The sequence below is a fragment of the Homo sapiens genome, chromosome 9 (genome assembly GCF_000001405.40).
Source record: "Homo sapiens chromosome 9, GRCh38.p14 Primary Assembly".
In the NCBI taxonomy this organism is placed as follows: Eukaryota; Metazoa; Chordata; class Mammalia; order Primates; family Hominidae; genus Homo; species Homo sapiens.
The window spans coordinates 98,056,481-98,084,308 of NC_000009.12; the positions used below are offsets into that span (position 1 = coordinate 98,056,481).

The 27,828-nt window shown below is 46.6% G+C and overlaps 2 protein-coding genes across 11 annotated transcripts in view, besides 5 other annotated features; one reads left to right on the forward strand and one right to left on the reverse strand.

Moving 5' to 3' along the window:
• Positions 1 to 350: a silencer, noted in NCBI's record as "silent region_20112". NCBI's record gives its function as "represses an Ori minimal core promoter by ATAC-STARR-seq in GM12878 lymphoblastoid cells {active_cell/tissue: GM12878}" and the evidence as "EXISTENCE:reporter gene assay evidence [ECO:0000049][PMID:35858748]".
• TRIM14 (tripartite motif containing 14) overlaps positions 1 to 27,828 on the reverse strand; it is an 83,426-nt gene that overhangs the window by 20,684 nt on the left and 34,914 nt on the right. For 2 of the 7 annotated variants that reach the window (XM_005252320.5, XM_047424163.1), the window contains exon 7: positions 25,305 to 27,087. The exons of 1 other annotated variant lie outside the window; for it this stretch is intronic. The gene's annotated coding sequence lies outside the window, so the exon portion shown is untranslated. Of the gene's footprint in view, positions 1 to 4,655; positions 4,674 to 12,473; positions 13,368 to 21,710; positions 21,907 to 25,304; positions 27,810 to 27,828 lie in introns of those variants that run through there. 4 more of the 7 variants (XM_047424161.1, XM_047424160.1, XM_017015353.3 and 1 more) reach the window with 4 other exon arrangements.
• On the forward strand, positions 252 to 26,597 carry NANS (N-acetylneuraminate synthase). Of its 4 annotated transcripts, none has more exons than NM_018946.4 (6): positions 252 to 460; positions 4,302 to 4,517; positions 20,438 to 20,537; positions 21,713 to 21,867; positions 24,336 to 24,602; positions 26,366 to 26,597. In NM_018946.4, exons 1-6 carry the CDS (start codon positions 329 to 331, stop codon positions 26,573 to 26,575), a joined length of 1,080 nt encoding a protein of 359 aa, NP_061819.2. In that variant the 5' UTR covers positions 252 to 328; the 3' UTR covers positions 26,576 to 26,597. The 4 variants fall into 4 exon arrangements, with proteins under 4 accessions (NP_061819.2, XP_011517089.1, XP_047279432.1 ...); XM_011518787.3 differs by lacking the exon at positions 252 to 460 and adding an exon at positions 19,090 to 19,252 and having other exon boundaries at positions 4,437 to 4,517; XM_047423476.1 differs by lacking the exons at positions 252 to 460; positions 4,302 to 4,517 and adding exons at positions 13,169 to 13,258; positions 19,090 to 19,252.
• Positions 431 to 600: a silencer, noted in NCBI's record as "silent region_20113". NCBI's record gives its function as "represses an Ori minimal core promoter by ATAC-STARR-seq in GM12878 lymphoblastoid cells {active_cell/tissue: GM12878}" and the evidence as "EXISTENCE:reporter gene assay evidence [ECO:0000049][PMID:35858748]".
• Positions 851 to 970: an enhancer, noted in NCBI's record as "active region_28688". NCBI's record gives its function as "activates an Ori minimal core promoter by ATAC-STARR-seq in GM12878 lymphoblastoid cells {active_cell/tissue: GM12878}" and the evidence as "EXISTENCE:reporter gene assay evidence [ECO:0000049][PMID:35858748]".
• Positions 15,192 to 15,692: an enhancer, noted in NCBI's record as "H3K4me1 hESC enhancer chr9:100833954-100834454 (GRCh37/hg19 assembly coordinates)". NCBI's record gives its function as "activates a minimal SCP1, AML or CMV promoter by ChIP-STARR-seq in naive H9 embryonic stem cells {active_cell/tissue: H9 hESC(naive)}" and the evidence as "EXISTENCE:reporter gene assay evidence [ECO:0000049][PMID:30033119]".
• Positions 18,153 to 18,959: an enhancer, noted in NCBI's record as "H3K27ac-H3K4me1 hESC enhancer chr9:100836915-100837721 (GRCh37/hg19 assembly coordinates)". NCBI's record gives its function as "activates a minimal SCP1, AML or CMV promoter by ChIP-STARR-seq in naive H9 embryonic stem cells {active_cell/tissue: H9 hESC(naive)}" and the evidence as "EXISTENCE:reporter gene assay evidence [ECO:0000049][PMID:30033119]".

Below are 27,828 nucleotides of genomic sequence, written 5' to 3' on the forward strand. Positions count from 1 at the left end.
TTGCTCCTGGGTGCACGCACGGATACCGCGATGGTCCGAGACCACGCTCTGGGACAGCAAGCCTCAAGCCTCGCACAGGAGAGGGCCGCGGAGCTTCCTCGACCCGCCCCGCCGCCCTTCCCGCGGGAGGCCCCGCCCCCGCCCCCCGCCCCGATTGGCTGTCGGGAGAGAGGCGGGGCCTAGGGGATTGGCTGCCCGGCGACCGCGGGCTGACGTGGCGGGGCTGGCGTGTGGGTCTCGCAGCGTTGCTCACAGAACAGAGTAGAGGCGGCGGCGGCGGCGGCCGGACCCAGACTGGTAGTGAGGCTTTGGACCCCGAGCCGCTGCAATGCCGCTGGAGCTGGAGCTGTGTCCCGGGCGCTGGGTGGGCGGGCAACACCCGTGCTTCATCATTGCCGAGATCGGCCAGAACCACCAGGGCGACCTGGACGTAGCCAAGCGCATGATCCGCATGGCCAAGGTGAGGCGGCAGCTCCCGGGACCCGGGATTCGGGCGCCGGGAGGGGCGGGGCGGGGCCGCGGGGAGCCAGGGCCACACGGCCTCCGCGGCTGGGTACCCTGGTCCGGCCTCTTCCCGCCCGCCAGTTCCGTTTTCGGAATCCTTCGGATCCCTCTTCCTCACCGTGTCCGCCACCCTCGTGACCTTTCTGCATTACAGCAGCTGCCTCCTAACCCGACCTGTTTCCTCCCCGTTCTGGTGCCAGAATAATCTTTCTAAAAGTCAGACTTGATCAGACCATCCCCCCTGCCTGGCACCTTCTGTGGCTCCCTCCTGCCCGCGGGTAGAGTCGAAACCCTTTAACATAGCCTTCAAGATTTTAATGACTGGGCCCCTTCCAGCCCGTCATAATTCTTCTCTGACATTCTTCAGCGACACAGAGTTACTTTCAGGAATGACAGTTCCTGGAAGTTGCTGTGGTCTCTCTCACCCGCCATTCCCTGTATATGAAATATGAAGTGGTTAAAAGCCGGGCCTTTGAGTTCAAATCTCAGTTCCACCACTACTAGCTGTGTGAACATGGGCTGCTTACTTAGCCTCCGTGAACCCTTTTCCCCATTTGAAAACGGGGCTTGAAAACAACAGTTCTTTCCACATGGAGTTGTTATGGGGATCAAATGAGATTCTCAGATAGAGCTCTGAGCCCAGCACTTGGCACACATGAGTCGGTAAATGCGTGCTCCCTCTTCTGTTGGGACTGCCATATTCTTCATTACGACCCCAGCCCCCAGCATAAGGCCTGGCCTGCACTATGATTCTTTGGTTTAGAGATAGCTCACCCCATCTTTCCTTTCCCTTCATCAATGCTACTCAACTGATTTTGTATCATTTGTGATAGGTTTTTTAAATGTTTATTTATTTATTTATCTATGTTAGAGACAGGGTCTTGCTCTGTCACCCAGGCTGGAGGTTTTCTCTTACTGTTTTTTTTTTTTTTTCCTGGTTTTTTTTTTTTTTTTTTTTGAGACAGGGTCTCTGTATCACCCAGGCTGGAGTGCAGTGGCATGATCCCGGCTCACTGCAACCTCTGCCTCCCAGGCTTAAGTGATTCTCCCACCTCAGCCTCCCGAGTAGCTGGGACCCACAGGCGTGAACCACCATGCTGGGCTAATTTTTTTGTAGAGATGGGGTTTGGCCATGTTACCCAGGCTGGTCTCGAACTCCTGAGCTCAAGCAATCTGCCCACCTTGGCCTCCGAAAGTGCTGGGATTACAGGTGTGAGCCACCACCCTCGGCCCTTGCTGTTCCTTCGGGACTGGTTTTATGGAAACCTAATCACTGAATCATAAAAATACTTTACAAAAATAACATTGCTAACATTTTTTGAGTGCTTACTCTACCAGGTACTAAGCTAAATGCTGTACATGCACCATCTCATTTAATTTTTACAACAACCCAATGCCATGATGCTGCCGATTTCATTTTAAAGGCTAAGAGAAAATAAGTGACTTAGGCAAGGTCACATAGCTAGTATAATAAATACAGTAAGGGGTTTTTTCAGTTTTTGCTCCTAAGCCACAGGACTCCAGCCTTTCTTCTGCAACATTGTTTTCTAGAGGGAAATTCCCACTCTTAATTTGAAGGAGCAGTCTGTTTTTCCTCTTGGAATGCCGAAGTTGTAGAAATATCTAGAGATACTGAAGCCATAGAAACAAAGCTGTACTGACCAGGTGCAGTGGCTGATTCCTGTAATCCCATCACTTTGGGAGGCTGAGGAAGGCAGATTGCTTGAGCTCAGGAATTCGAGACCAGCCTGGGCCACATAGCGAGACCCTGTCTCTAATTCCATTGAGCTGGAATCTAGGTGGCTGCAGCCTTTAGGAAAGGGATCTGGCCAGCTCTGCTAGAGACACTGTGCAACTTTAGTCAGGTCAGTCTGGGCCTTGGGATCTTCATCTAGACAATGAGAGCTCTGTTGCCCAAGGTCACTTTCAGTTCTAATGTTCTTTGAACTTTCCAGCATCAAGTCCTGACTCTACCATCTTATGATTTGTCTAAGAGCAGGAGTAGTGATCTCAGCACTGACATTTCTGGACCCAAGAAGTTTTTATTTTTTTTTTTCAAGACGGAGTCTCGCTGTGTCACCCAGGCTGGAGTGCAGTGGCGTGATCTCGGCTTACTGCAAGCTCCGCCTCCTGGGTTCACACCGTTCTCCTGTCTCAGCCTCCCGAGTAGCTGGGATTACAGGTGCCCACCACCACACCTAGCTAATTTTTTGTATTTTTAGTAGAGACGGGGTTTCACCATGTTAGCCAGGATGGTCTCGATCTCCTGACCTCGTGATCTGCCCACCTCGGCCTCCCAGAGTGCTGGGATTACAGGTGTGAGCCACTGCGCCCGGCAGCCAAGAAGTTTTTAATAGCATGAATACCTCTGTGTCTACAGAAATGGCCGTGAGATGGGACTTTAGTGGGTTTTAATTACTCTTTTTCTTGAGTAGATTGTTTTTGTTTGAGTCAAGGTCTCACTCTGTTGCTCAGGCTGGAGTGCAGTGGCACCATCATAGCTCATTGCCACCTCAACCTCTGGGGATCAAGCGATCCTCCCCCCTCAGCCTCCTGAGTAGCTGGGACTACAAGCGTATGCCACCATGCCTGGCTAATTTTTATATTTTTTGTAGAGACAGGGTCTTACTATGTTGCCGAGGCTGGTCTTGAACTCCTTGGTTCAAGCAATCCTCCCACCTTGGCCTCTCAAAGTGTTTGGATTATAGGCATGGGCCACTGTGCCTGACCTCTTGAGTGTTTTTTGTTTTTTTTTTTTTATAGTCAAACAATCCGGCTTTTATATTATTGCCTCTGCTCAGTAGAAGTCATCTAGGGGCTGGGGCATTTTTGTTTTGTTTGTCTGCTTTTTAACATGTAACCTGTTCAAAGAAAATGTCATGGAGAAAAGCGCCAGTGCAAAGCAGCTAAAAGCAGAGTTGCTATTGTTGAAATCAGAGAAAGAGGCATAGGGCACTGTCCCTGGATGTTCCTGTCCCTGAGAGGGCCTCATTAGGACAGTTTACACATCCTGGAGGTAGCCCAAACTGCTTTTATATCGATGGAGAAACTGAGTCCAGAGCTGGGAAGTGACTTATCTAAGAGTTAGGGTCAAAGTTAAACCAGAATTTTTCTTTACTAAATTCTGGTCCAGTGCTGAGTTGACTATTCTTTGCTCAGTTATATAACTTAAAATCTTCCTTAACTCTTTGATCCAATGTTTTTAATATTTACAATGCAAAACAAAGGAAAAAAGTCCCATTTTTTTTTCTTTTGGCATGTTAAGAGAAAAAAATAGGGGGAGGTCTCCCATCTCCAAACAACCTTTTCTTCCTTTCAGACTTTCTTGCCTTTTCTGTTCCTCTTCCTTGGAGGTCCTTAAGGTCTCTGTCAGTCTATGTTGTTTTTAAAGATGGTGATGTCGGCTGGGCGCAGTGACTCATGCCTGTAATCCCAGCACTTTGGGAGGCCAAGGCGTTTGGATCACCTGAGGTCAGGAGTTCAAGACCAGCCTGGCCAATGTGGCGAAACCTTGTCTTTACTAAAAATAACAAAAATTAGCCGGGTGTCGTGGTGGGTGCCTGTAATCCCAGCTACTTGGGAGGCTGAGGCAGGAGAATGGCTTGAACCCGGGAGGCATTGGTTGTAGTGAGCCGAGATCACACCTTCTGCACTCCAGCCTGGGTGAAAGAGCGAAACTCTGTCTCTAAATAAATAAATAAATAAAGATGGTGATGTCATAGTGGTTGCTCCAGAATTTTTTCCTTTTTTTGAGAATCTACGACAGTCACTGAAAGATGTCCTAATGTGTGTTGTAGGAGTGTGGGGCTGATTGTGCTAAGTTCCAGAAGAGTGAGCTAGAATTCAAGTTTAATCGGAAAGCCTTGGAGAGGCCATACACCTCGAAGCATTCCTGGGGGAAGACGTACGGGGAGCACAAACGACATCTGGAGTTCAGCCATGACCAGTACAGGGAGCTGCAGAGGTACGCCGAGGAGGTTGGGATCTTCTTCACTGCCTCTGGCATGGATGAGGTGAGTCCTCTGCTGCTCTGTCATTTGTCACTTTAGCAGACCAAGGGTCAGCAGGCAGCCTGGTGACTTCCGGCTTAGGGCCACCTCCAGCCCTTGCTCATCCTTTCTGTTCCCAGCTACTGGAGAGGCTAGCAGGCGCCAAAGCCCAGTGAGAATCTGTGGGAAGGATGCCATTGTTTTAAAAACACATTGTCTCTGGCCGGGCTTGATGGCTCACACCTGTAATCCCGGCACTTTGGGAGACTGAGGGGGATGGATCACCTGAGGTCAGGAGTTCGAGACCAGCCTGGCCAACATGGTGAAACCCCATCTCTACTAAAAATACAAAAATTAGCTGGGCATGGTGGTGCGTGCCTGTAATCCCAGTTACTTGGGAGGCTGAGGCAGGAGAATCACTTGAACCTGGGAGGTGGAGGTTGCAGTGAGCCGAGATCACACCACTGTGCTCCAGCCTGGGCAACAGAACAAGAGTCCATCTCAAATTAAAAAAAAAAAAAAAAAAGGCCAGGCGCGGTGTCTCACACCTGTAATCCCAGCACTTTGGGAGGCTGAGACAGGCAGGTCACGAGGTCAAGAGATCAAGATCATCCTGGCCAACATGGTGAAACCCTGTCTCTACTAAAATACAAAAAATTAGCTGGGCGTGGTGGCATGCGTCTGTAGTCCCAGCTACTTGGGAGGCTGAGGCAGGAGAATCGCTTGAACCTGGGAGGTGGAGGTTGCAGTAAGCCGAGATCGCGCCACTGCACTCCAGCCTGGTGATAGAGCAAGATTCCGTCTCAAAAAAAAAAAAAATTAATAATAATAATAATAGTAATAACAATAACAAGTTGTCTCTGGAAGTAGGGGTCAGCCACACTGGAATCCCAGAGTCCCTCCAAGCTGTAGGGACACCCCAGCTGGGCCAGGTTTCTCCCAGTAGAAAATGGTCTGGGAACCAGGGCCTGGGTGTGGTGGCTCACACCTGTAATCCCAGAGCTTTGGGAGGCTGAGCTGGAAGGACTGCTTGAGGCCAGGAGCTCAAGACCAGTGTGGGCAACACAGGGAGACCCTATCTCTACAAAAAACACAAAAATTAGCCAGGCGTGGTGGCGTACTCCTGTAGTCTGGGAGGCTGAGGATTGCTTGATCCCATGTATTTGAGACTGCAGTTAGCCATGACTGGACCACAGCACTCCAGCCTGGGTGATAGAGCAAGACCCTGTCTCTTAATAAAAAAAAAAAAAAATAGAGCAAGGAAACCACAGTTCTGGAGTCCGCTCCTTGCTGACTAGCCTTGACTGACTTGAGTGGGGGGACACTGGCACTGTCCAGAAGGGAATGGCTCACAGGATGGTCACCGGTGGTTTTTGGCTTGGCCATGCTACATCCTGGAAGAGTACAGCTCGTGCCAGGTCTCAGGTCCCATCTGCTCTGTGACCTGCCTCCTTAAAATTCCTTCATGTGTTCTTTTGAATGTAAAAAAAATTTTACTTGTAAAAATAACATTACAGAAAGTTTAGAAAATGAGAAAAGGGAAAAAACTGACCCATAATCCCTCTATAGCAGTTCTTTTTATATATTTCCTCCTGAAGTCTTTTTATATTCTTGTTTTATTGCCTGCTGGTACTATTTAGTGAACATCGAGTTCTGTGCCTGCTTGTTTTAGTTAACATTATAGCACAAACTTTTACCCCACCTTATGCTTAAAGATTTTAATAGCAACGTAATATTTCTTTTGGTGCATGTACTATACTGTACCTAACCATTCCTCTACTTTTGGATACGGAAGTTATTTCAGTTTTTTTTTTTTTTTTTTTTGAGACAGAGTCTCAAAAAAACTGGGGGAAGAGTATATAGGATTTCTCTGTGTTCTTTCTTACAGCTGCATGTGAATCTACCATTATCTCAAAATTCAAAGTTTAAAATTAAAAAAAGTTTCTTCAATTTTATTTTATTTTATTTATTTTATTTTTTTGAGATGGAGTCTCACTCTGTCACCCAGGCTGGAGTACAGTGGCGTGATCTCGGCTCGCTGCAACCCCCGCCTCCCAGGTTGAAGCGATTCTCCTGTCTCAGTCTCCCAAGTATGCATGCACCACCAGGCCTGGCTGATTTTTTTTGTATTTTTAGTGGAGACAGGGTTTCACCATGTTAGCCAGGCTGATCTCAAACTCCTGACCTCAGCCCATCCGCCCGCCCCAGCCTCCCAAAGGTCTGGGGATTACGGGTGTGAGCCACCATGCCCAGCCCAGTTTTATTTTTTGTTGTTGTTTGCTTGTTTTGAGACAGAGTCTCACTGTCTCCCAGGCTGGAGTGGAGTGGTGTGATCTCAGCTCACTGCAACCTCTGCCTCCCAGGTTCAAGTTATTCTCATGGCTCAGCCTCCTGAGTAGCTGGGATTACAGGCACCTGCCACCAGGCCCAGCTAAATTTTGTATTTTTAGTAGAGATGGGGTTTCACCATGTTGGCCAGGCTGGTCTCGAACTTTTGACCTCAGGTTATCCATCTGCCTCAGCCTCCCAAAGTGCTGGGATTACAGGTGTGAGCCACTGTGCCTGGCCTAGTTTTTTTTGTTTTTTGAGATGGGATCTTGTTTTGTCACCCATGCTGGAGTGCAACGATGCAATCATAGCTTACTGCAGTCTCAAACTCCTGGCCTCAAGTGATCCTCCTGTCTCAGCCTGCTGAGTAGCTGGGACTACAGGCATGTGCCAACACGCTTGGCTAATTAAAAAAAAAATTTATAGAGACAGGGTCTCACTGTGTTGCCCAGATTGATCTTGAACTCCTGGCCTCAAGTGATCCTCCCATCTAGGCCTCCCAAAGTGCTGGGATTACAGGTTTAAGCCACTGCACCCAGCCTGTTTTTTTGTGCTAATAAGTAGTGCTGAGATAGACATCTTTTCTCTGTTTGGGGTTGTTTCCTTAAGATGGCTTCTTAGAAATAGATTTTTAGGTAAAACCTTAGAACATTTTTATGGGTCTTGAAACACTTTTTCTTTTGGTCAACCAGGTTATTTGAAGCAGACTTCTGACTCTGTGCCACTTTTCCAGTTCTAAAACATGTGTGTCGACTGAGTTGAAAGAAGCACACATGCAGCTCAGGCCAGAGGTAATGGGTGGTTTAAAAAAGGAGGAAGGTGGAGAACCTAGGCCTCTAGAGAACTTGGCAGTTTCAGGCTACACTTCTGTAGACCAAATTCATTCCTTAATTCACAGCATTCGTACGCATGACATTCTTCAAATGCAGTTGTGTACTTAACAATCCTAATTCCCTATTTTTTTTTTTTAAAGACGGAGTCTTGGTCTGTTGCTCAAGCTGGAGTGCAATGGCACGATCTTGGCTCACTGCAACCTCCACCTCCCGGGTTCAAGTTATTCTCGTGCCTCAGCCTCCTGAGTAGCTGGGATTACAGGCGCCTGCCACCACACACGGCTAGTTTTTGTATATTTTTAGTAGAGATGGGGTTTCACCATGTTGACCAGGCTGGTCTTGAACTCCTGACCTTCAGTGATCCGCCTGCCTCGGCCTCCCAAAGTTCTGGGATTACAGGTGTAAGCCACCGCACCCGCCCTAATTCCCTACTTTTGAAGTACACATTATTGTTTATGAAGCATCTTCACATACAGTAATATATTTTATCCCTACAGTGCCCCATTTTACAGATGAAGAAATGGAGGACCAGAGGGGCCAGAAGTTTGTTCAGTATCACACAGTTAGGAAATGGGTCTTAAAGGTAGCAGATCTGATGCCTAGAGCAGTATGCTTTCCACAGTCCCTCAGCTGCTGCTGCCTGGCTGGCAGCCCAGGCTTCCCAGAGCGTAGACTCCCACTGTGAATGCCTGAAAGCTCAGGAGAGTCTCCGCATGCACCACGCTCGGTACCAGTTCAAGACTGAAGTTGGCTGGAGAGTCTCTGGGCCCAAGAGCTGCCTTGGGAGTGGGGACAGATTTTTTTTTTAAACCTACGTAAAAAGGTTAGTTAGATATATTGCTGATCTTCAGTTAATTACTGCCCTGCAACCTGGGGCAGGGGCCTCACTCTGCATCCAGTTTCAAATCTGAGACCTGGGTTTGCTCAAATTCAGTTCAAACTGGTGACATAGCAGCCTGCATTCAGAAAGGAATAGGTCTTGTAAGTATCAACAACAGAACCAAAGGGACATTATTGTGTTAATCCTTCTGGGCGTACTCACAGCCCAGGAGAGTTTCTGAGATTGTATGTGGTGTCCTCTAAATAAATAGGATTGTTTTTCAACAGAGAATTACAATGTTTAGCTTCTGGTGAAATAATATTATTCTTTTAAAGTGTTAGTCACTCCTGGTGCTTTTTTTTTTTTTTTTTTTTTGAAACAGAGTTTCGTTATTGTTGCCCAGGCTGGAGTGCAATCAATGGTGCAATCTCGGCTCACTGCGACTTCCGCCTCCTGGGTTCAAGCAATTCTCCTGCCTCAGCCTCCCAAGTAGATGGGATTACAGGCGTCCACCACCATGCCCAGCTAATTTTTTTTTTTTTTTTTTTTTTTTTTTGTATTTTTAGTAGAGACGGGGTTTCACCATGTTGGCCAGGCTGGTCTCGAACTCCTGACCTCAGGTGATCCACCCTTCTTGGCCTCCCAAAGTGTTAGGATTACAGGCGTAAGCCTCTGCATCCAGCTGCTTTTTTTTTTTTCCCCCTGGAGACAGAATGATAACGGTTTGGCTGTGTCTCCACCGAAATCTCAACTTGAATTTTATCTCCCAGAATTCCCACGTGTTGTGGGAGGGACCCAAAGGGAGGTAGTTGAATCATGGGGGCTGGTCTTTCCCGTGCTATTCTCATGATAGTGAATGAGTCTCATGAGATCTGATGGGTTTATCAGGGGTTTCTGCTTTTGCTTCTTCCTCATTTTCTCTTGCTGCTGCCATGTAAGAAGTGCCTTTTGCCCCCCACCATGATTCTGAGACCTGCCCAGCCATGTGAAACTGTAAGTCCAATTACAGCTTACAGCCTTCCCCAGAGTAATCACTTTGAGAAGCACTTTCATTTGGAGGACTAAGTCCTAACCTGGTTGTTAAAAATAATTAGGCTCAGTAGTTTTGTCATCCCTCCTCCTCCATAGTTGCTTCCCCAGGACACAGTTTTTCTAAAACTTGACCATACCTAGTGTTGAATCCATAGTAAGGAGAAATGTTATGTGTGCATTTCATTGCAGTGACAATTAAAAACAATAATAACCAATCAGAGTAATGAGAAGTATATGAAGGCGGTTTCCAAAGTGTGGTTCAGGAACCCCTGGGGGATTCATGAGCCCTTTCAGGAGGTCCACAAAGGCAAAGCTATTTCCATAATGATACTCAAATGTTATTTGTCCTTTCCATCATCATTCTCACAAGTATATAGTGGAGTTTTCCAGAGGCTAGGTGATGTGTGATGACATCATTCCTCTGGCAGCGGCTCACCTAATGGAAGGTGTGTTGTGTGTCTTTTTAAAGAACAGTTTTATTGACACACCATCCAATTCACCCAATCGAGGGTACAATTCAGTGGTGTTTAGTAATATTTACAGAGTTGTGCAACCATTAATACAATTACCGTTAGAACATTTTTTATCACCCCCAAAGGAAAAACTACCTATTAGCAGCACTCCTCAATTGCCCCAATTCTCCCAGGCCTAGGCAACCACTTACCGATTTTTTTTTTTTTTTGAGACAGAGTCTCGCTCTATTGCCCAGGCTGGAGTGCAGTGGTAGGATCTTGGCTCACTGCAACCTCCACCTCTCAGGTTCAAGCAATTCTCCTGCCTCAGCCTCCCGAGTAGCTGGGATTGCAGTCATGCACCACCCTGCCCAGCTAATTTTTGTATTTTTAGTGGAGACAGGGTTTCACCATGTTGACCAGGCTGATCTTGAACTTCTAACCTCAGGTGATCCACTTGCCTTGGCCTCCCAAAGTGCTGGGATTGTAGGTGTGAGCCACTGCGTCCAGCCTCAAATTTCTGTCTCTATAAATTTGCCTATTCTGGATATTGCATATAAATAGAATCATACAATATGTGGTCCTTCGAGCCTGACTTCTTTCATATAACATTGTGTTTTCATTTATGTTGTAGCATATATCAGTACTTCATTTCTTTTTTTGACTAACTCATAATTCAATTTTATGGCTATACTACATTTTATTTACCCATTTGTCAGCTGGTGGACATTTGGGTTGTTTCTACTCTTTGGCTGTTATGAATAATGCTGCTGTGAGCTTTTATGTACAGGTTTTATATGGACATGTGTTCATTTCTCTTCGGTATTACATATATGAGTGGAATTGCTGGGTCACCTGGTAACTCTATGTTTAACTTTTTTGAGGAACTGCCAGACTGCTTGCCAAAATGGCTGCACCATTCCCGCCAGCAGGGTTTGATGGTGCCAGTTGCTTCACATCCTCATCATTTGTGATTACCTCCTGATTCTAGCCATCCTAGTGGATGTGACATGGTGTCTCATTGTGGTTGTGATTTGCATTTCTCTGATGCATCTTTTCATGTGTCTGTTGGTCATCTGCATATCTTCTTTGGAAGAATGTCTATTCAGATCCTTTGTCAGTTTTAAGAATTGGATTATTTTTCTTTATATATTCTTTTGAAATTTAATTATTTTTTCATGTATAGCCTTCCAATGAATTGTCTTTATATATTTTAAGTACAAGTCCTTTAGTAGATAAATGATTGTAAAAAACTTTCCTAGTCTTTGGGTTGTCTTTTTCACTTTCTTTTTTTTTTGTGAGATACGGTCTTGCTCTGTCGCCCAGGCTGGAGTGCAGAGTGGTGCAATATCGGCTCACTGCAACCCTGGCCTCCTGAGCTCAAGCAATCCTCCCACCTCAGCCTCCTAAGTAGCTAGGACTATAGGCATGCGCCATCAGACTCAGCTAATTTTTGTATTTTTTGTAGAGACAAGATCTCACTATGTAGCCCAGGCTGGTCTCAAACTCCTGAGCTCAAGCGAACAGCCAACCTTGGCCTCCCAAAGTGCTGGGATTACAGGCATGAGCCACCATGCCTCGCCCTTTTTCACTTACTTGATAGTGTCCTCTGAATTACAAACATCTTTAATTTTGATGATGTCCAAATTATCTTTTTTTCTTCTTGTGTTTATCTATTTATATGTTTAAAAATTTCTCATTTATTTTTATTTTTGAGATAGGGTTACACTCTGTCACCCAGACTGGAGTGCAGTGGTATAATCTCAGCTCACTACAACCTCCAACTCCCGGGTTCAAGCGATTCTCATGCCTCAGCCTCCCAGGTAGCTGGGATTACAGGCGCACACCACCATGCCCAGCTAATTTTTTTTTGTATCTCTTGGTAGAGATGGAGTTTCACCTTGTTGGTCAGGCTGGTCTCGAACTCCTGATCTCAAGTGATCTGCCTTCCTCGGCCTCCCAAATGCTAGGATTACAGGTGTCAGCCACCTCACCAGCCATTTTTAGCTTTTTTTTTTCCTTTATTTCTCAGTTTTAAACCACAATGTGATATCACTGCACAGCTGTCAGTATCGTTAAAGTAAAAAGTGGTTGGCTGGATGCAGTGGCTCACTCCTGAAATCCCAGTACTTTGGGAAGCTGAGGTAGGAGGGTCGCTTGAGGCCAGGAGTTCAAGACCAGCCTGGGCAACAATAGCAAGACCCCATCTATTAAAAAAAAAAAAAAAAGCCAGGCATTGTGGTGTGTGCCTGTAGCCTCAGCTGCTTGGGAGGCTGAGGCAGGAAGGCGGGAGGCTTCCTTGAACCCAGGAGCTTGAGGCTGTGGTAAGCCATGATTGCACCAGTGAACTCCAGACTCCAGCCTTGGCAAAAGAGTGAGATCCTGTCTCTAAAAAAAAAAAAAAAATTGATAACACCACATGGTGTCAAGGATACAAAGAAAATAGATCATTCATATATTGCTGGTGGGAATGTAGAATGATCCAATCACTCTAGAAAACAGTATGGCAGTTTCATTCCTTCTTTTTTAAACAGCTTTATTGGGACATAATTCATATACTGTATAATTCAACCACTTAACATAGACTGGGAGTTTCTTATAAAGCTAGATAATGTGTTTATCATATGACCCACCAGTTGTCATTTGGTAATTTATCCCCAAAGAAATGAAAACTTAACATTCATACAAAAACCTGTATGTGAGTGTCATTACAACTTTTATTCTTAGTAGCTCAAAACTAGAACAAGCAAAATGTTCTTTAGTGGGTGAATGGTGAAACAAACTGTAGTACATGCATACCGTAGAGTACTACTCAGCAATCAAAAGGAATGAACTATTTTTCTTTTTTTTTTTGAAACGGAGTCTCACTCTATTGCCCAGGCTGGAGTGCAGTGGTGTGATCTCGGCTCACTGCAACCTCCGCTGCCCGGGTTCAAGTGATTCTCCTTCCTCAGCCTCCTGAGTAGCAGGGATTACAGGCACATGCCATGGTGCCCGGCTAATTTTTGTATTTTTTGCAGAGATGGGGTTTCACCATCTTGGCCAGGCTAGTCTCAAACTCCTGACCTTGTGATCCACCCACATCGGCCTCCCAAAGCGCTGGGATTACAGGCGTGAGCCACCGCGCCCAGCCAGGAATGAACTATTGATGCGTGCAGCAGCCTGGATGCATCTCAAGGAAATGATGCTGAGTGAGAAAGCAGCATATGCAGAAGGGAACATACTGTACGATTCTGCTTCCATGACATTCTGGAAATAACAGAATTATGACAGTGGAGAACAGATGAGTAGTTGCCAAAGGTTAGTAAGGGGAAGGGGATGTGGTTATAAAGGGGTGACATGAAAGATCCTTGTAGCAGTGGCATCATGGTACCTTCTGTATGGTGACCGTGGCAGTGCTCACATGAGTCTGTGCATGGGGTAAAATTGCATATAATTAAATATAGGCACACAGAAATGAATACTTGTAGAAATGGTGAAATCTGAATAAGATTGGTTGACTTTGTCAATGTCATTCACCCAGTTGTGGTATTGTACTATAGTTTTACAAGACATTACCATTGGGGGAAACTGGGGGAAGAGTATATAGTATCTCTCTGTGTTCTTTCTTACAGTTGCACCTGAATCTACCATTATCTCAAAATTCAAAGTTTAAAATTAAGAAAAGATTCCTCTATTTTATTTTATATTTTATTTTTTGAGACAGAGTCTTGCTGTCACGCAGGCTGGAGTGCAGTGGCACGATTGTGGCTCACTGTAACCTTCGCCTCCCAGGTTCAAGCAGTTCTCCTGCTTCAGCCTCCCAAGTAGCTGGGACTACAGGTGTATGCCACCATGCCCAGCTAATTTTTGTATTTTTAGTAGAGACGGGGTTTCACCATGTTGACCAGGCTGGTCTTGAACTCCTGACCTCAGGTGATCTGCCTGCCTCAGCCTCCCAAAGTGCTGGGATTGCAGGTGTGAGCCACCGTGCCCAGCTTTCATTTTAAATTTTTATTTTATTTATTTATTTCACTCTGTTGGCCAGGCCGGAGTGCAATGGCGTGATCTTGGCTCACTGCAACTTCTGCCTCCTGGGTTCAAGAGATTCTTGTGCCTCAGCCTCCTGAGTAGCTAGGATTATAGGTACCCGCCACCACACCCGACTAATTTTTGTATTTTTAGTAGAGATGAGGTTTTACCATTTGGCCAGGCTGGTCTCAAACTCCCGACCTCAGGTGATCCGCCCACCTTGTCCTCCCAAAGTGCTGGGATTACAGGCATGAGCCATCGCGCCTGGTCACAATTTTAATTTTTAATTCAGCAAATACGAATAAATAAAACCACATCAAAAAATAAAAATAAAAAAGATCTGCAGACTCTTTAGTAATTTTTTTTTTTTTTTGAGACAGGGTCTCACTCTGTTGCCCAGGCTGGAGAGTAGCAGCACAATCATAGCTCATAGCTCACCGCAGCCTTGACGGCCCAGGCTCAAGCGATCCTCCCACCTCAGCCTTCTTAGTAGCTGGGACTACAGGTCCATGCCACCACAACCAGCTAATTTCTAAATTTTTTTGTAGAGATGGGGTCTCCCTATGTTGCCCAGGCTGGTCTTAAACTCTGGGCCTCAAACAGTCTCCCACCTCGGCCTCCCAAAGTGCTAGGATTACAGGTGTGAGCCACTGCACTTGGCCTCCTTAGTAATTTTTAAGAATTTGAAGATGAAAACATTTGGGACTCCATGCTGAATGCTGTATACACATACCCCAGCTGTGTGGTGTGTACCTGGCTATATGATGGCACGACTGTATGGTACACACCTCAGCTGTATGGTACATACCCCCGACTGTATGATGCACACCCCAGCTCTGTGGTACACACCCTGCTGTGTGGCCCATACCCGGGCTATATGGCCCAGTGGCCAAGTGAATGGACTCTAGGGTCAGATTTTAAGTTTGAATATGGCTCTGCCTGTTATTTTTGGTATATCCATGTGGAGGTTATTTAACCTTTTTGTGCCTGTTTTCTTCAGTTGTAAAGTGGGCTTCCTAGCAGAACCCATCTGGGAGGGAAAGTGAAGATTAAATGTGATCGTTAATATAAAGCATAGTACACAATCAGTATTCAGTGAATATCAGTTACAATTAAGGAAAGCAACCTGGGCTAAGGGCTAGGACATCTGGGTACTTGCAGGCTGGGACATCTGGGTACTTGTCCTGGCTTTGTCCTTAACTCTCAGTGTGACCTTGGTGAGCCCCTTCCCTGCCTGGGCCACCATTTCATTTTCCGTGTGTGACCAAGCTACCATCCAGTGGTTCTCTCTATTCTGATGTCCTGAGTCAGCGCAGAACCAGGGAAGATGTCATCAAGGTGACTTGCACCTGGATTGGGGACTTTTCTGCTTCCGTCCACGTTTCCTGGAAATGCAAGCTCCCTGAGCTCCTGGATCTGACCTAGGAGAAAGGTGCCTCCTTGCCCGTGAGGCTGCCAAGGCGGAGTCACTTCTTTAGGCCGTGCCCTGCAGGTGGCATCGGTTGAGAACCCGGAGCAGTTGGGTGATAGGGAGGAGTCTGGTGTTTGCAGCGGGGCTTCCTCCTTGGTTTTCCTTCCCTCTGCTCCCCAGGCAGCCCATTTGCTTGGTGTCTGTGATGGGTGTTTTAGAGTCAGGCTCTCTGAGCTCAGCTCCTGGTGCTCACACTCTGTGTGGCTTGGGCTCCTCATGTAACCTTGGAGCCGCAGTGGCCCCCGTCTGTAAAAACAGGATTGTTAAGATGCTCCTGGGGCTATCTGGAGGATTCAGGGAGCTAAACCCGTGGGGTGCCAGCACAGGGCCAGGTCTACACTCACCCAGCGATGGCTGTTCTGTGACTCAGAACCCTTTGGAGTTTTTCTGCCTCAGCCTATTTGGGCAGGTAGGTTCCTCTGGATGAGGAATGCCTTTTGTCCCCAGCTAGTCCCCTGCCTGACCTAGGGCACAGGCAGTGAGGGAAAGTGCATTTTTTTTTTTTTTTTGAGACGGAGTCTCGCTGTGTCGCCCAAGCTGGAGTGCAGTTGCGCAATCTCTGCTCACTGCAACCTCCACCTCACGGGTTCAAGCAGTTCTCTGCCTCAGCCTCCCGAGTAGCTGGGACTACAGGTGCCCGCTACCATGCCCAGCTAATTTTTGTATTTTTAGTAGAGACAGAGTTTCACCATGTTGGCCAGGGTGGTCTTGAACTCCTGACCTCATGATCCACCCACCTCGGCCTCCCAAAGTGCTGGGATTATAGGCGGGAGCCACCGTGCCCGGCAGGAAAGTGCATTCTTTAAGAGCCTTTACGAGAGTTAATTTACCTTGCCCTCTGTCAAACTGTTGGAGGTAGATTGGTTCCTTGTTCTGTATTTACCTAGCAAGTGGCTCCCAGTGTTTACCTACCCTAACTTCCTTATAGAAACAGGCATTTATTGAATGCATATTTTCTCCACACTGTATGCTGTTCTAGGGCGTTCTCTGTGTGCTGAGGAAAGGTTAAGGTGTGGCAGAATTTTATTAAGGCCAAGAAAACCGTCAGGGCTTCTGGTTGAAAGTTGCACCAAGGCTGTGGAACTCAGGTGAAACAGCAGAATGTCTTTAGTCTAAAAGGAAAGTTCTATTGAGAAGGCAAATGGAAGCCATGACCAAAAAGGTGACTCCTGAGGGACATGCTCTCCTCACACACAGTGGCCATCCCAGCAAAGCCGCCCTTCCCTCCAGCACCTGCCTCTGTCCTAGGCACGGTGCCCTCTGACAGGCTGCTGCCCTGAGGCTGGCCCAGCCTATTTGTGGCTACACCCTTCCCCTGACTCCCTGTTCTCCCCAGCTCATCACCATGGGCTTTTTTTTTTTTTTTTTTTTTTTTTTTTTTTGAGACGGAGTCTTGCTCTGTCACCCAGGCTGGAGTGCAATGGCATGCTCTTGGCTCACTGCAACCTCCACCTCCCAGGTTCAAGTAATTGTCCTGCCTTAGCCTCCCGAGTAGCTGGGATTACAGACACACACCAACACGCCGGGCTAATTTTTGTATTTTTAGTAGAGGCGGGGTTTCACCATGTTGGCCAGGCTGGTGTCAAACTCCTGACCTCGTGATCTGCCCGCCACGGCCTCCCAAAGTGCTGGGATTACAGGCGTGAGCCACCGCGCCTGGCCTGGGCTTCTTTTTTTTTTTTTCCAATCCTGAAGGATCCAAAACCTGAGGGGAGAGGAAGGGACTTTAGAAAAATCTCAGCTCCACTCCTCTCTTTCCTTACCCCTGACTCAGATCAGCAGTTCCCAGAGTGTCCCACAGGACACAGTACAGAAATGGGGTTCTGTGGGCACGTGTTGTCCACCCTCATTCATTAATTGATTTAGAATCAATAAAGGGTTTTTTGGTTTATTTTTTGTTTTGTCACCCAGGCTGGAGTGCAGTGACACGACCTCAGCTCAGTGCAGCCTCAACCTCCTGGGTTCAAGCAATCCTCCCACTTCAGCCTCCTGAGTAGCTGGGACTGCAGGCACACACCACACACCCGGCTAATTTTTATATGTTTTGTAGAAACGGGATTTCGCCATGTTGCCTAGGCTGGTGTCAAACTCCTGGGCTAAAATGATCCTCCTGCCTTGGCCTCCCAAAGTGCTGGGATTACAGGCATGGGCTACCATGCCTGGCCAGAATTAATAAAGTTCTGAGTCGAATAAGTTTGGGAAACACTGGGTTTGGAACTCAGCTAAGTTGATTTACTGGGACCCTCTAAGAAGGCATTAAGGCAGGGTAGTGTTTCTCCCAAACGAGGCTATCCATGGGACCCATTTCTGCATGTTGAACTCAGCTGGGAGCCCGAGGAGAGTTGTACATGCCTGAGCTCCCTTCAGACTCCCACAGACTTTGTGCTATGGGGCAGGAGGGAGAGAGGAGTGCTGAGGCTGCCGGGCTGCATGGAACCCCAGATAGAGGGAACCCGATAGCACGGTCGGCAGGCTAGGGGAAGTCAAGGAGTCCCTGAAGAGAAAGGGGTCACCAGTTGCTGACCCAGCCTGTAGTAGCCCCTAGGCACAGCGATACTGTCTTAGGGCTGAAAGTTAGGATCTTCCAGATTACTCAGATTCCCTTTGCCCGATGGCTCTGAGTGGCAGTTTTCTAAATGTCCACTGGGTGGCGCTGGCTCCCCAGGAGGCGGCAAAATGAGGCGCCCCTTCCCTTTCCAGCAGGAATTGGCCTTTTTCTTTACTTGAAAATTACAGAATTCCATGCAGATTTTACAGCCTCTGTAGGTAAGCTTTCACAAGGTGTTTTTCTGCACTTGTCCCCCCTCCTTGCCCCGATCGCTCTGCCCCTCTCTTGGGGGGGTTTCTGCTTCTGTTTATGCCCTGGTGGGCCACACCACACTCCCACAAGATGAACATTATACAAAAGAAAACTCAGTGGAAGGTTCCTTCTTTAAACAGAAAGCACTCTCTTCATCTGCCAAATGAAGTGAGAAGGGTAGGAAAATTAGATTTTATTGAAAAAATATATTTAAAACTGATGTTTTTTCAGTTCTGTCTTAGGGCTAGTTAGCAGTGTTATGAGACACAAACAGGAAGGAGTGAGGTGGAAAGGTATGGAAGGTACTGGGCATGGCAGCTGAAGCTTGCAACCCCAGCACTGTGGGAGGCCAGGGTGGGACAACTGCTTGAGGTCAGGAGTTTGAGAACAGCCCGGGCAACATAGCAAGACCCCATCTCCACAGCAAATTAAAAAAAAAAAAAAATTAGCCACATGTGGTGGCACGTGCTTGTGGTCCCAGCTACTTGGGAGACTGAGGCAGGAGGATTGCTTGACCCCAGGAGTTTGAGACCAGTCTGGGCAACATAGCAAGACCCCGTCTCTACCACAAAAGAAAAGAAAAAGATGGAAGGGGAAAAGAGAAGAGTTAAAAATAAAGCAGAGGAAGAGCAGTGAGAAAGGTGAAGGAAGGGAGGAAAGGAAGGAAACGGTGGGAGGGAGGGAGGAAGGAAAGGGAGAGAGGGAGGGAAGGAAAGGGAGGAAGGAAAGGGAGGAAAGGGAGGGAGGGAGGAAGGAAGGGAGGGAGGGAAGGAGACAGGAAGGGAGGTAGGTTGGTTGGTCCGTCGGTCCGTCGGTCCTAGACCAATCAGAGTTTGCATTTCATTTCAGCAACTTCCCTGGGAGAGGGAAAGATTTGTGCCCATGTGATCAAGTGTGAGCAACTCACTAAGCCCTAACTTATTTCTGAGTCACCATTCAGAGACATTGATTTTTTCGACTTTTGATTTCCAACTTCAAAACAAAACAAAGGGACTCAAGAAAACTTTTGAAGGTGATGTGTATGTTTATTACTCTTGTGCTGATGGTAGCAGTAGTGTATACTTAAGTCCCAACTCACCAAATTACATTATGTGCAGTTTTTAGTATATCAATTACACCTTACTGAAGCTGGAAAGAAATGATAATAAAAAGTTTTTGAGTTCTTATAATTTGACAGCAAACTGAGATTTTACTCTTATAACTTGTGATCCACTGATTCCTTCAGCAAGCATTTGCTGACATTTACCAATTTCCTGAGTCTTGTTGATGAATACTAGAGAAGGATGTTGAAGAGCACTAAATAGGTAACCTCAAGCAGTGACGTTATATCTGAAAAAAGTGACTGAGGTTCACTTTTAAGTAGGCAGCGTGCTTTGAGGCCTGAAAGGGCTCGGGTTGAATGGGCCCTGCCAGCCATGGATCCTTATGTAGAGGCTGGGCAAAAAAATGCTCCATTTTCCCCCTTTCGCCAAGAATTGAAATAGCCCCTTTTCCTGCTCGTTTGGCCGAGTAGAAGGGAAAGCCTTTGAGGCTATTCATGTTTTCACTGCCTGGTTTTCTGGGTCAGGATTAGGTCATGACCGTTTCATGTTTGTTCATTTGGCCTTGGGCCCCTGGGGCAGGTAGGGTCTGGCCAGGGGAAAGGTTCTTTTCCAGATTCTTTTTTTTTTTTGAGATGGAGTCTCGCTCTGTGGCCCAGGCTGGAGTGCAGTGGCATGATCTCAGCTCACTGCAACCTCCGCCTCCCAGGTTCAAGTGATTCTCCTGCCTCAGCCTTCTGAGTAGCTGGGATCACAGGTGCCCGCCACCACACCCGGCTAATTTTTATATTTTTAGTAGAGACGGGGTTTCACCATGTTGGTCAGGCTAGTCTCAAACTCCTGACCTCAGGTGATCTGCCCGCCTCGGCCTCCCAAAGTGCAGGCATGAGCCACCACGCCCAGCCCTTTTCCAGATTCCTGTAGCCAGCAAAGACCAGCACCAAACGTTTGTTGGGCTAATGGATGGGTGGATGCAAATGAATGTTTGCATTTGAATGAAATGACTGAGAACAAATCTTTGCCTGCTTTCAAGTTGCTGAGCGTCCCTCTACTGCCTAAGATGAGGGGTTTTTCTACTTGTATGTTATTCCTTGCCTGTCATAACAACAGTGTTTTTGGACAATGGTGAAAAGGAGCTCCCTCTTTGATTTTTGTAGATGGCAGTTGAATTCCTGCATGAACTGAATGTTCCATTTTTCAAAGTTGGATCTGGAGACACTAATAATTTTCCTTATCTGGAAAAGACAGCCAAAAAAGGTAAGTGTCTAATTTTTGACTTAAAATCGAAGGGAGTCCAAACCTTCATATTTTTACTCCCCTCATGGTGGCCCACTTTCAGCAGATTTCATGAAGACAAATTTTAGCCTCTTTTCATTTTTTTAAATAGAGATAGGGTCTCGCTGTGTTGGCCAGGTTGGTCTTGAACTCCTGGCCTAAAGCAATCCTCCCATCTCGACCTCCCAAAGTGCTAGGATTACAGGCATGAGCCACTGTGCCCTGCCAGAAACCTCTTTTCAATCAGCCTGTACTTCCATTTTTTGTAAGCTAATTTGAAAGAAAATGAATTAAGAATATGACAGTTTTTATAAGACATTTAGAAATTCTTTTTAAGAATTTTTTTTTTTTTTTAATAGAGACAAGGTCTGTCTATGTTGCCCAGGTTGGTCTTGAACTCCTGGATTCAAGTGATCCTCCTACTTCAGCCTCCCAAAGTGTTGGGATTACAGGTGTGAGCCACTGCACCTGTCCTAGAAAATTTTTTAACTAAAATTTATAAGAAATTAAGGATATGACAGTATATATAAAACCTAGCTGGGTATGGTGGTGCATTACTGTGGCCCCAGCTACTCGGGAGGCTGAGGTAGGAGGATTGCTTGAGTTTGAGACCGCAGTGGGACATGATCGTGTAAAGTGGTTTTACAACATGAACAATTTCATTTGATCCTCATAACACTCCTAGGACTGAAACAGGTCATGATTATGATGCTTGATACTTATTTCACAGGGGAGGCCTCTGAGACTCAGAGACGGACAGTACTCTGCCCAGGCACAGCTAGAAGTGGCAGCTCCACACCTCACATTCATTCACACTCTTGAATCAGCACTCATTCTACTGTACTGCCATGGTATACAACCTATTAATCAGATAAGATACTCATTTTCCTCTTGGCAGTGTGAAATTCCTCTGCCTCTTTAATTCAGTTCCTTTTGCTCAAGAACACTGTCGGGGGGCAGAGGGGAGCCCACCTTTCCTGTGGCCGAGGGCAGGAACCCAACAAGCTCCTCTCTGTTCCCCCACAGGGGCTGGCACAGTGTTTTAAGAGATGTCTGTGGAGTTCAGTTGAATGATGAGACCAGCAGTTGGGATGTGTTGGGGAGAGTCAGAACCTCTAAAGAGAAAGTGCTGATGGTGTTGGTGCTGGATTACTCAGGTCGCCCAATGGTGATCTCCAGTGGGATGCAGTCAATGGACACCATGAAGCAAGTTTATCAGATCGTGAAGCCCCTCAACCCCAACTTCTGCTTCTTGCAGTGTACCAGCGCATACCCGCTCCAGCCTGAGGACGTCAACCTGCGGGTCATCTCGGTGAGCAGGAGGGAGGGGGTTCCCTTCTTGGGCCATTTACTATGGGGAAGGCGTAGTCTTTTTTATAACCAAAATTCTAACAAACATGGCATACTTTATAATTTGAACATCCTTTGACAGTCTTGCTGTTACCAAATCAAATTCGAGCTAAGCAGTTGAGGAAGCACATACATTCTAAAGAGGGTGACTGTAAATGAAATTTTCTTGGCCAGGCGCGGTGGGTCATGCCTGTAATCCCAGCACTTTGGGAGGTCGAGGTGGGCAGATCACCTGAGGTCAGGAGTTCGAGACTAGCCTGGCCAACATGGTGAAACCCCTTCTTATTAAAAATATAAAAATTAGTCAGGCATGGTGATGCGTGCCTGTGGTCCCAGCTACTCAGGAGGCTGAGGCAGGAGAATCGCTTGAATTCAGGAGGCAGAGGTTGCAGTGAGCCGAGATTGCACCACTGCACTCAAGCCTGGGTGACAGAGTGAGACTCTCAGGGGGAAAAAAAAAAAAAAAAAAGTCTGTCTGTCAACAGACATTTGGGATGATTTTACCTTTTGGCTATTGTGAATGATGCTGCTATGAACACTAGCGTACAGATAAATATTCATCTTTTTTCATACTGAGTTATAGGAGGCCTTCTTGAAACTTCCTGGCTTTTTCTGCTTTATTTGCTGACTCTCTTATTTTCTAATGCTGAGCATCCCTGAGGCTCATACTAGTTATAGTGACAGCCTTGATGGAAATTACTCTCTCCCACGATTTTGCCTACTCAGTCATTTCACAGATGGTGAAATCCAGTCCCAAGTCGGGAAGCCTGAGATCCCACAGCAGCTTGGTGGCAAAGCTGGAACTAGAACCTGGGCATGTCCCCCTAGGCCTTTGTCTCTTACTGTCTCACGCCATCTCTCTCAGTTCTTCCTGTAGCACTGGAAATTTAACTTTATTCGAAAATATGTATGTAATTATCATTAAAACTATTATAGTAACATTAATGGAATTCTATCTATCTATCCACACATACTAGAATCCTGATATTGCAGTTGTTTTCCTTTTATATTTTCCTTTCAGTATAGTATTTGACATTGTTTTCCCCATAATATAAGCTTTCTTACATGTTGTTATACAGCCATTAACTTAAAAAGTTAGCCTTTTTGAAAACTGACATTACTCTCTTTTTACCTAAACTTTCTGTCCCTCCCAATCCTGTTTTTGCTTCACTTACAGCTTATCTAAATCACGTTATTTTTAAAATTTAAAAATGATTTCTGTGAAATATGTAATGTCGAAAGTAAACATCCCCTGCACTCCCATCCCACAGAGATTCCGATAATTAACAGTTTAGTAGACGTGACCCCAGCTATTTTCCTTTTCAGTGTATCTCCGTCCCCACTCAAGGTGCTGTCATGTCCTCTCTCTTGACACTACACATTGCAGGAGTTATTCTGCCAGCCTATCCCATCTTGGGCCTGCACATAGTACAGTGGTTTGAATTTTCAAACTTGTAGCAACCCGCACTCCATCACACACCCTTAAGCCTGGTTTTCAAGGCCTTTGCCACCTAACCCTCCTAATCTTTTGTTAAATCCCACCTGAGGCCAGACACCGTGGCTCATGCCAGTAGTCCCAGCACTTTGGGAGGCTGAGGCAGGTGGACCGCTTGAGGCCAGGAGCTTGAGACCAGCCTGGCCAATGTGGCGAAACCCTGTCTCTACTAAAAATACAAAAATTAGCTGGGCGTGGTGGCGGGCACCCATAGTCCCAGCTGCTCAGGAGGCTGAGGCAGGAGAATCGCTTGAACCCAGGAGGCAGAGGTTGCAGTGAGCTGAGATCACGCCATTGCACTCCAGCCTTGGTGACAGAGCAAGACTCTGTTTCAAAAAGAAATAATAAATAACAATAAAATAATAATACACGCTACCTGAGTCTTTCTACTGTACTCAGCTTTCTGGTCACCCTCACCAACAAGACTCACCCATCTTAGAGTGTCTTTTGTTGCATTCAGTGAATTATAGATAACGGATTAATTATTTATCATTTTCACCAAAGGATTGTTTTGAGATTGGGCTGTGTATATTATTGATGATATTTGTGCATATAGCACACTTGCTTTCAGCAGCTCAGGCTAATTAAATGTGACAGATGGTTTTTGAATGAGGTTAGACATTCATTTATAGTTCTGTTGTTACTCTTGGTGTATTGTGCAATGTGAAACATTCTTAAAATGCATTCTTTAGAATAACAGTAACCATTTTTAGAGCATTTACAATGTGCTGAGTGCTTCTCATGCATTTACAGCAACACTCAGCAGGTATTATTATCATCCCTAGGAAAGAGAGGCTCAGAGAGCCTCAGTATCTTGCCCCTGGCTGCACAGCTAGTGAGTGGCTAAACCGGGGCTCAACCAGATACGCTTCACCTGGAGAATATGCATAAAGCAGCATGATATTTAATGTTATTTTTCTTTTTCCATTTTAAAGGAATATCAGAAGCTCTTTCCTGACATTCCCATAGGGTATTCTGGGCATGAAACAGGCATAGCGATATCTGTGGCCGCAGTGGCTCTGGGGGCCAAGGTGTTGGAACGTCACATAACTTTGGACAAGACCTGGAAGGGGAGTGACCACTCGGCCTCGCTGGAGCCTGGAGAACTGGCCGAGCTGGTGCGGTCAGTGCGTCTTGTGGAGCGTGCCCTGGGCTCCCCAACCAAGCAGCTGCTGCCCTGTGAGATGGCCTGCAATGAGAAGGTGTGTCCTGCCGGACTCTACTCGGTTCTGCTGCCGTGTGTGGAAAAAGGATAGGCTGGCCTGAGAGGGATGGTCAGGACCAGCCCTCCCTGAGCCAGGCTGATGAAATGATCAGTGAATGTGCTCCCACCCGTGTCAGCTTCTTCAGGCTTCTCTTCAGTAATGCATGTCACTCTGGCCTGTAGCAGCAGCAGGAGACACATGTTATCTAACTTTAGCAGTTTCTCTGGCCACCTAGGGTCACATTAGAGTCTTCCACTAATTCTCTGAAGCCCATGGCCCCAGTACTCCTAGACTCCAGAATATGTAACAGGAGTGAGGCCCTGGAATAAGTCAAGTCTGGGCTCCCTTGGAGCAGGTAAGCCCTGAGAAACATTTAGGCACGGTGTTCCCTGAGGTACCAGAAGAGCCTGTGGCATTTCCTAAGCCAGGGTGGCACTGGTGGGAAGGGCAGTGAGTCGTTGCAGAGGTGGGTGGGTGATGATGCAGCTATTCCTTGTGCAACAGTGACCTTCAGACAGAGGAACTGGTGGGCCTAGAAGCACTGCCTGGCATGCTGACTATCAGGGCTTCCTGGAAGCCGTGGCCTGGACCTTCTTGCCTTCTGAGTCATAGAGCCAGGCAGGCATCCTGGGGCTGCCAGGCACACACACACCTAACCTGTAGGCTGTCGGGGTCAAGGCAAAGACCAAACACCAGGCATGCCTGGGACTGTTGTCACCTTTTATTCTAGTGGGGCCTACCTGCTTCCCCAAATCAAAGATGCATCTATACCAGGAAATTAAAATAAAGTAAAAAGAAATAGTTTCTTTATAGAGGAAACAGGAGAGAATTAGACCAGAAACCAGAGTAAGATTTATAACAGCTGAGCACTTAATTTGGCTCTCTGAGCAGACAGTAAAACATAACAGGATGCATGATTATCACTTGACATTTTTTCCTGGCACCACATTCCAAGCAGAATTGATTCCTTGTACTCTTACGTGGAGGATATAGAGTAATAAAACACGTAATTTATTTGAAAGCATTTATAGAGAAGACAAACACTGGTCATGAGCTTCAGGTACCCTTCATTCCCTCATCTGCCTGTATTATCTGCCCCTTCCTCGGGGGCTCCTTTTCTTGCCATCTGCATAACAGCCACATTCACCATCTTATGAGTCCTTCATATTTCTATTTTACCAAACAAAGTGGCGGTAAGGTGTGTGCCCTGGAGAACGGTGTGTCAGGAGTTAAGAATCTCATCCCTATGTTATGTTTCATCTTGGCTGTCTGCAACCCTGGCCAAGTCACCCACCCTGTATGGGCCTCAGTTTCCCCATGTTTACAATGAGATACTGAGCTGAATGGTAACCAAAAGAATCAGAGTTTGCATGTATTGAGAGCATTCTATGTTCCACGTACATTCTGTAATATCACCAATCCTTACAGTCATCTGACAGGATAAGTTTCCATTTGACAGAGAAACTAAAACGTGGCCTATACCCCACAGACTGGGATTTGAACCTGGCTCCGCCTACATAGCCTCAGCCCTTTCCTTTGCACTTTGTTGTAAAGGCTCCTCCTCTGAGTCTCTGAATTCAATCTATACTGGTTGAATTCCTGCCATGTATGAGATATTCTGAGCAGTGTAGGGGGCAACAGAGTGCCTGCTCCCAAGGTACTGCCTGGGGAAGACTGATCAGGGACCTTGAGTGTAAAGTAAAGTAGTGTGCACTAGTTACTTCTGTGAAGCTGGCACTGAATGTTCATTTTGTCCACAGCTGGGCAAGTCTGTGGTGGCCAAAGTGAAAATTCCGGAAGGCACCATTCTAACAATGGACATGCTCACCGTGAAGGTGGGTGAGCCCAAAGGCTATCCTCCTGAAGACATCTTTAATCTAGTGGGCAAGAAGGTCCTGGTCACTGTTGAAGAGGATGACACCATCATGGAAGAATTGGTAGATAATCATGGCAAAAAAATCAAGTCTTAAAAATAAAGTGCCATTCTCTGAATTCTCAGTTCCCTTGCTGATGCTGTCAGGTGTGTTTGAGTGAGGCGAGGGCAGGAATGGCGGTCTCCAGGGACCTGGCTGTCATCCACCTCCACCTGCTCCTTAGACAGCAGATGTTTCTGGGCTAGGCCCTGTGTCAGCCCACTGGAGACAGAAAAAGATCCAGTGATGCAATCTCTCCTTCAAGTTGGCCAGCTTAGTGCACTGGCCAACAGTGCATTATAAACAGAGCACCAGAAGAAGGGGTGGTTCCAAACAAAGTCCATATCCTCCAGTTGCTGGGTGGCTGCAGAGAGGGGTGAGAGCTGGCTGCACATGTCCTTTCCTTTAAGCCTTCATTCTCACTTCCTTACAGCCCTTTACTTCTCCATTGTCTTTATCCCTTTCCTGCCCTTGGCCTCTGTGTTTAGTTGGCATTGTATAGCAGTCACTCCACATCAGAGAAAGGACTGGTCAAAGGATCTTGTAGGCAGAAAATGCTGAAAGCACTCCTTTCAGAGCAAAGAGAGGGAAATGGCATGTGTTCCTTCTCTGAACAAATATTGAGGGCCATCTTTGTGCCAGGCACTGCTTTAGGCACAGAGTATATGGCCATGAACAAGCCCCAATCCCTTCCTCAGAGAACTTCCATTCAGATGGGGGCAGATGCATAAAAATCCATAGCATAGTGATTCAGTCACACAATATGTTAGAAGGTGGTATGTGAGCCAGGCGTGCTTGTGTGAGCCTGTAATCCCAACTACTTAGGAGGCTGAGGTGGGAGGATTGCTTGAGACCAGGAGTTCAAGCTATAATACGATCTTGGATGGGAACAGGTGGGAGTCAGGGTTTGTTTACACGTAAGTGAGAACTTTAATGAGTTATCTTCAGAAGCAGTGAATGCCCCATCCCTGGAGATAGTTAATCAGGGAGCAGCTGACTACTACCAGAAGGCTGCGTAAGGAATAAGATATGAGTAAAGGCCCTTCTGGGTCTGGGTGCTAGGGACTTGAAGCAACATGAACTGGAGGGAGCTGTGATGTGGACACGCTGAAATCGGTGGGGAGGAAGCGGAAGATTCAAGGGACCTCAAGAGACAGAAGAGTCAGGACTGGATGACTCCCATTCATTCACAAATGTTTACTGTGTGCCTACTATGTGTCAGGTTCCTGTGCTGTACGAGGGAGAAGGTTCCCAGGCTGCGGATGATGTATTCAGGATGCTGAGGGCTTACCTGTGGGGGTATCACTGGG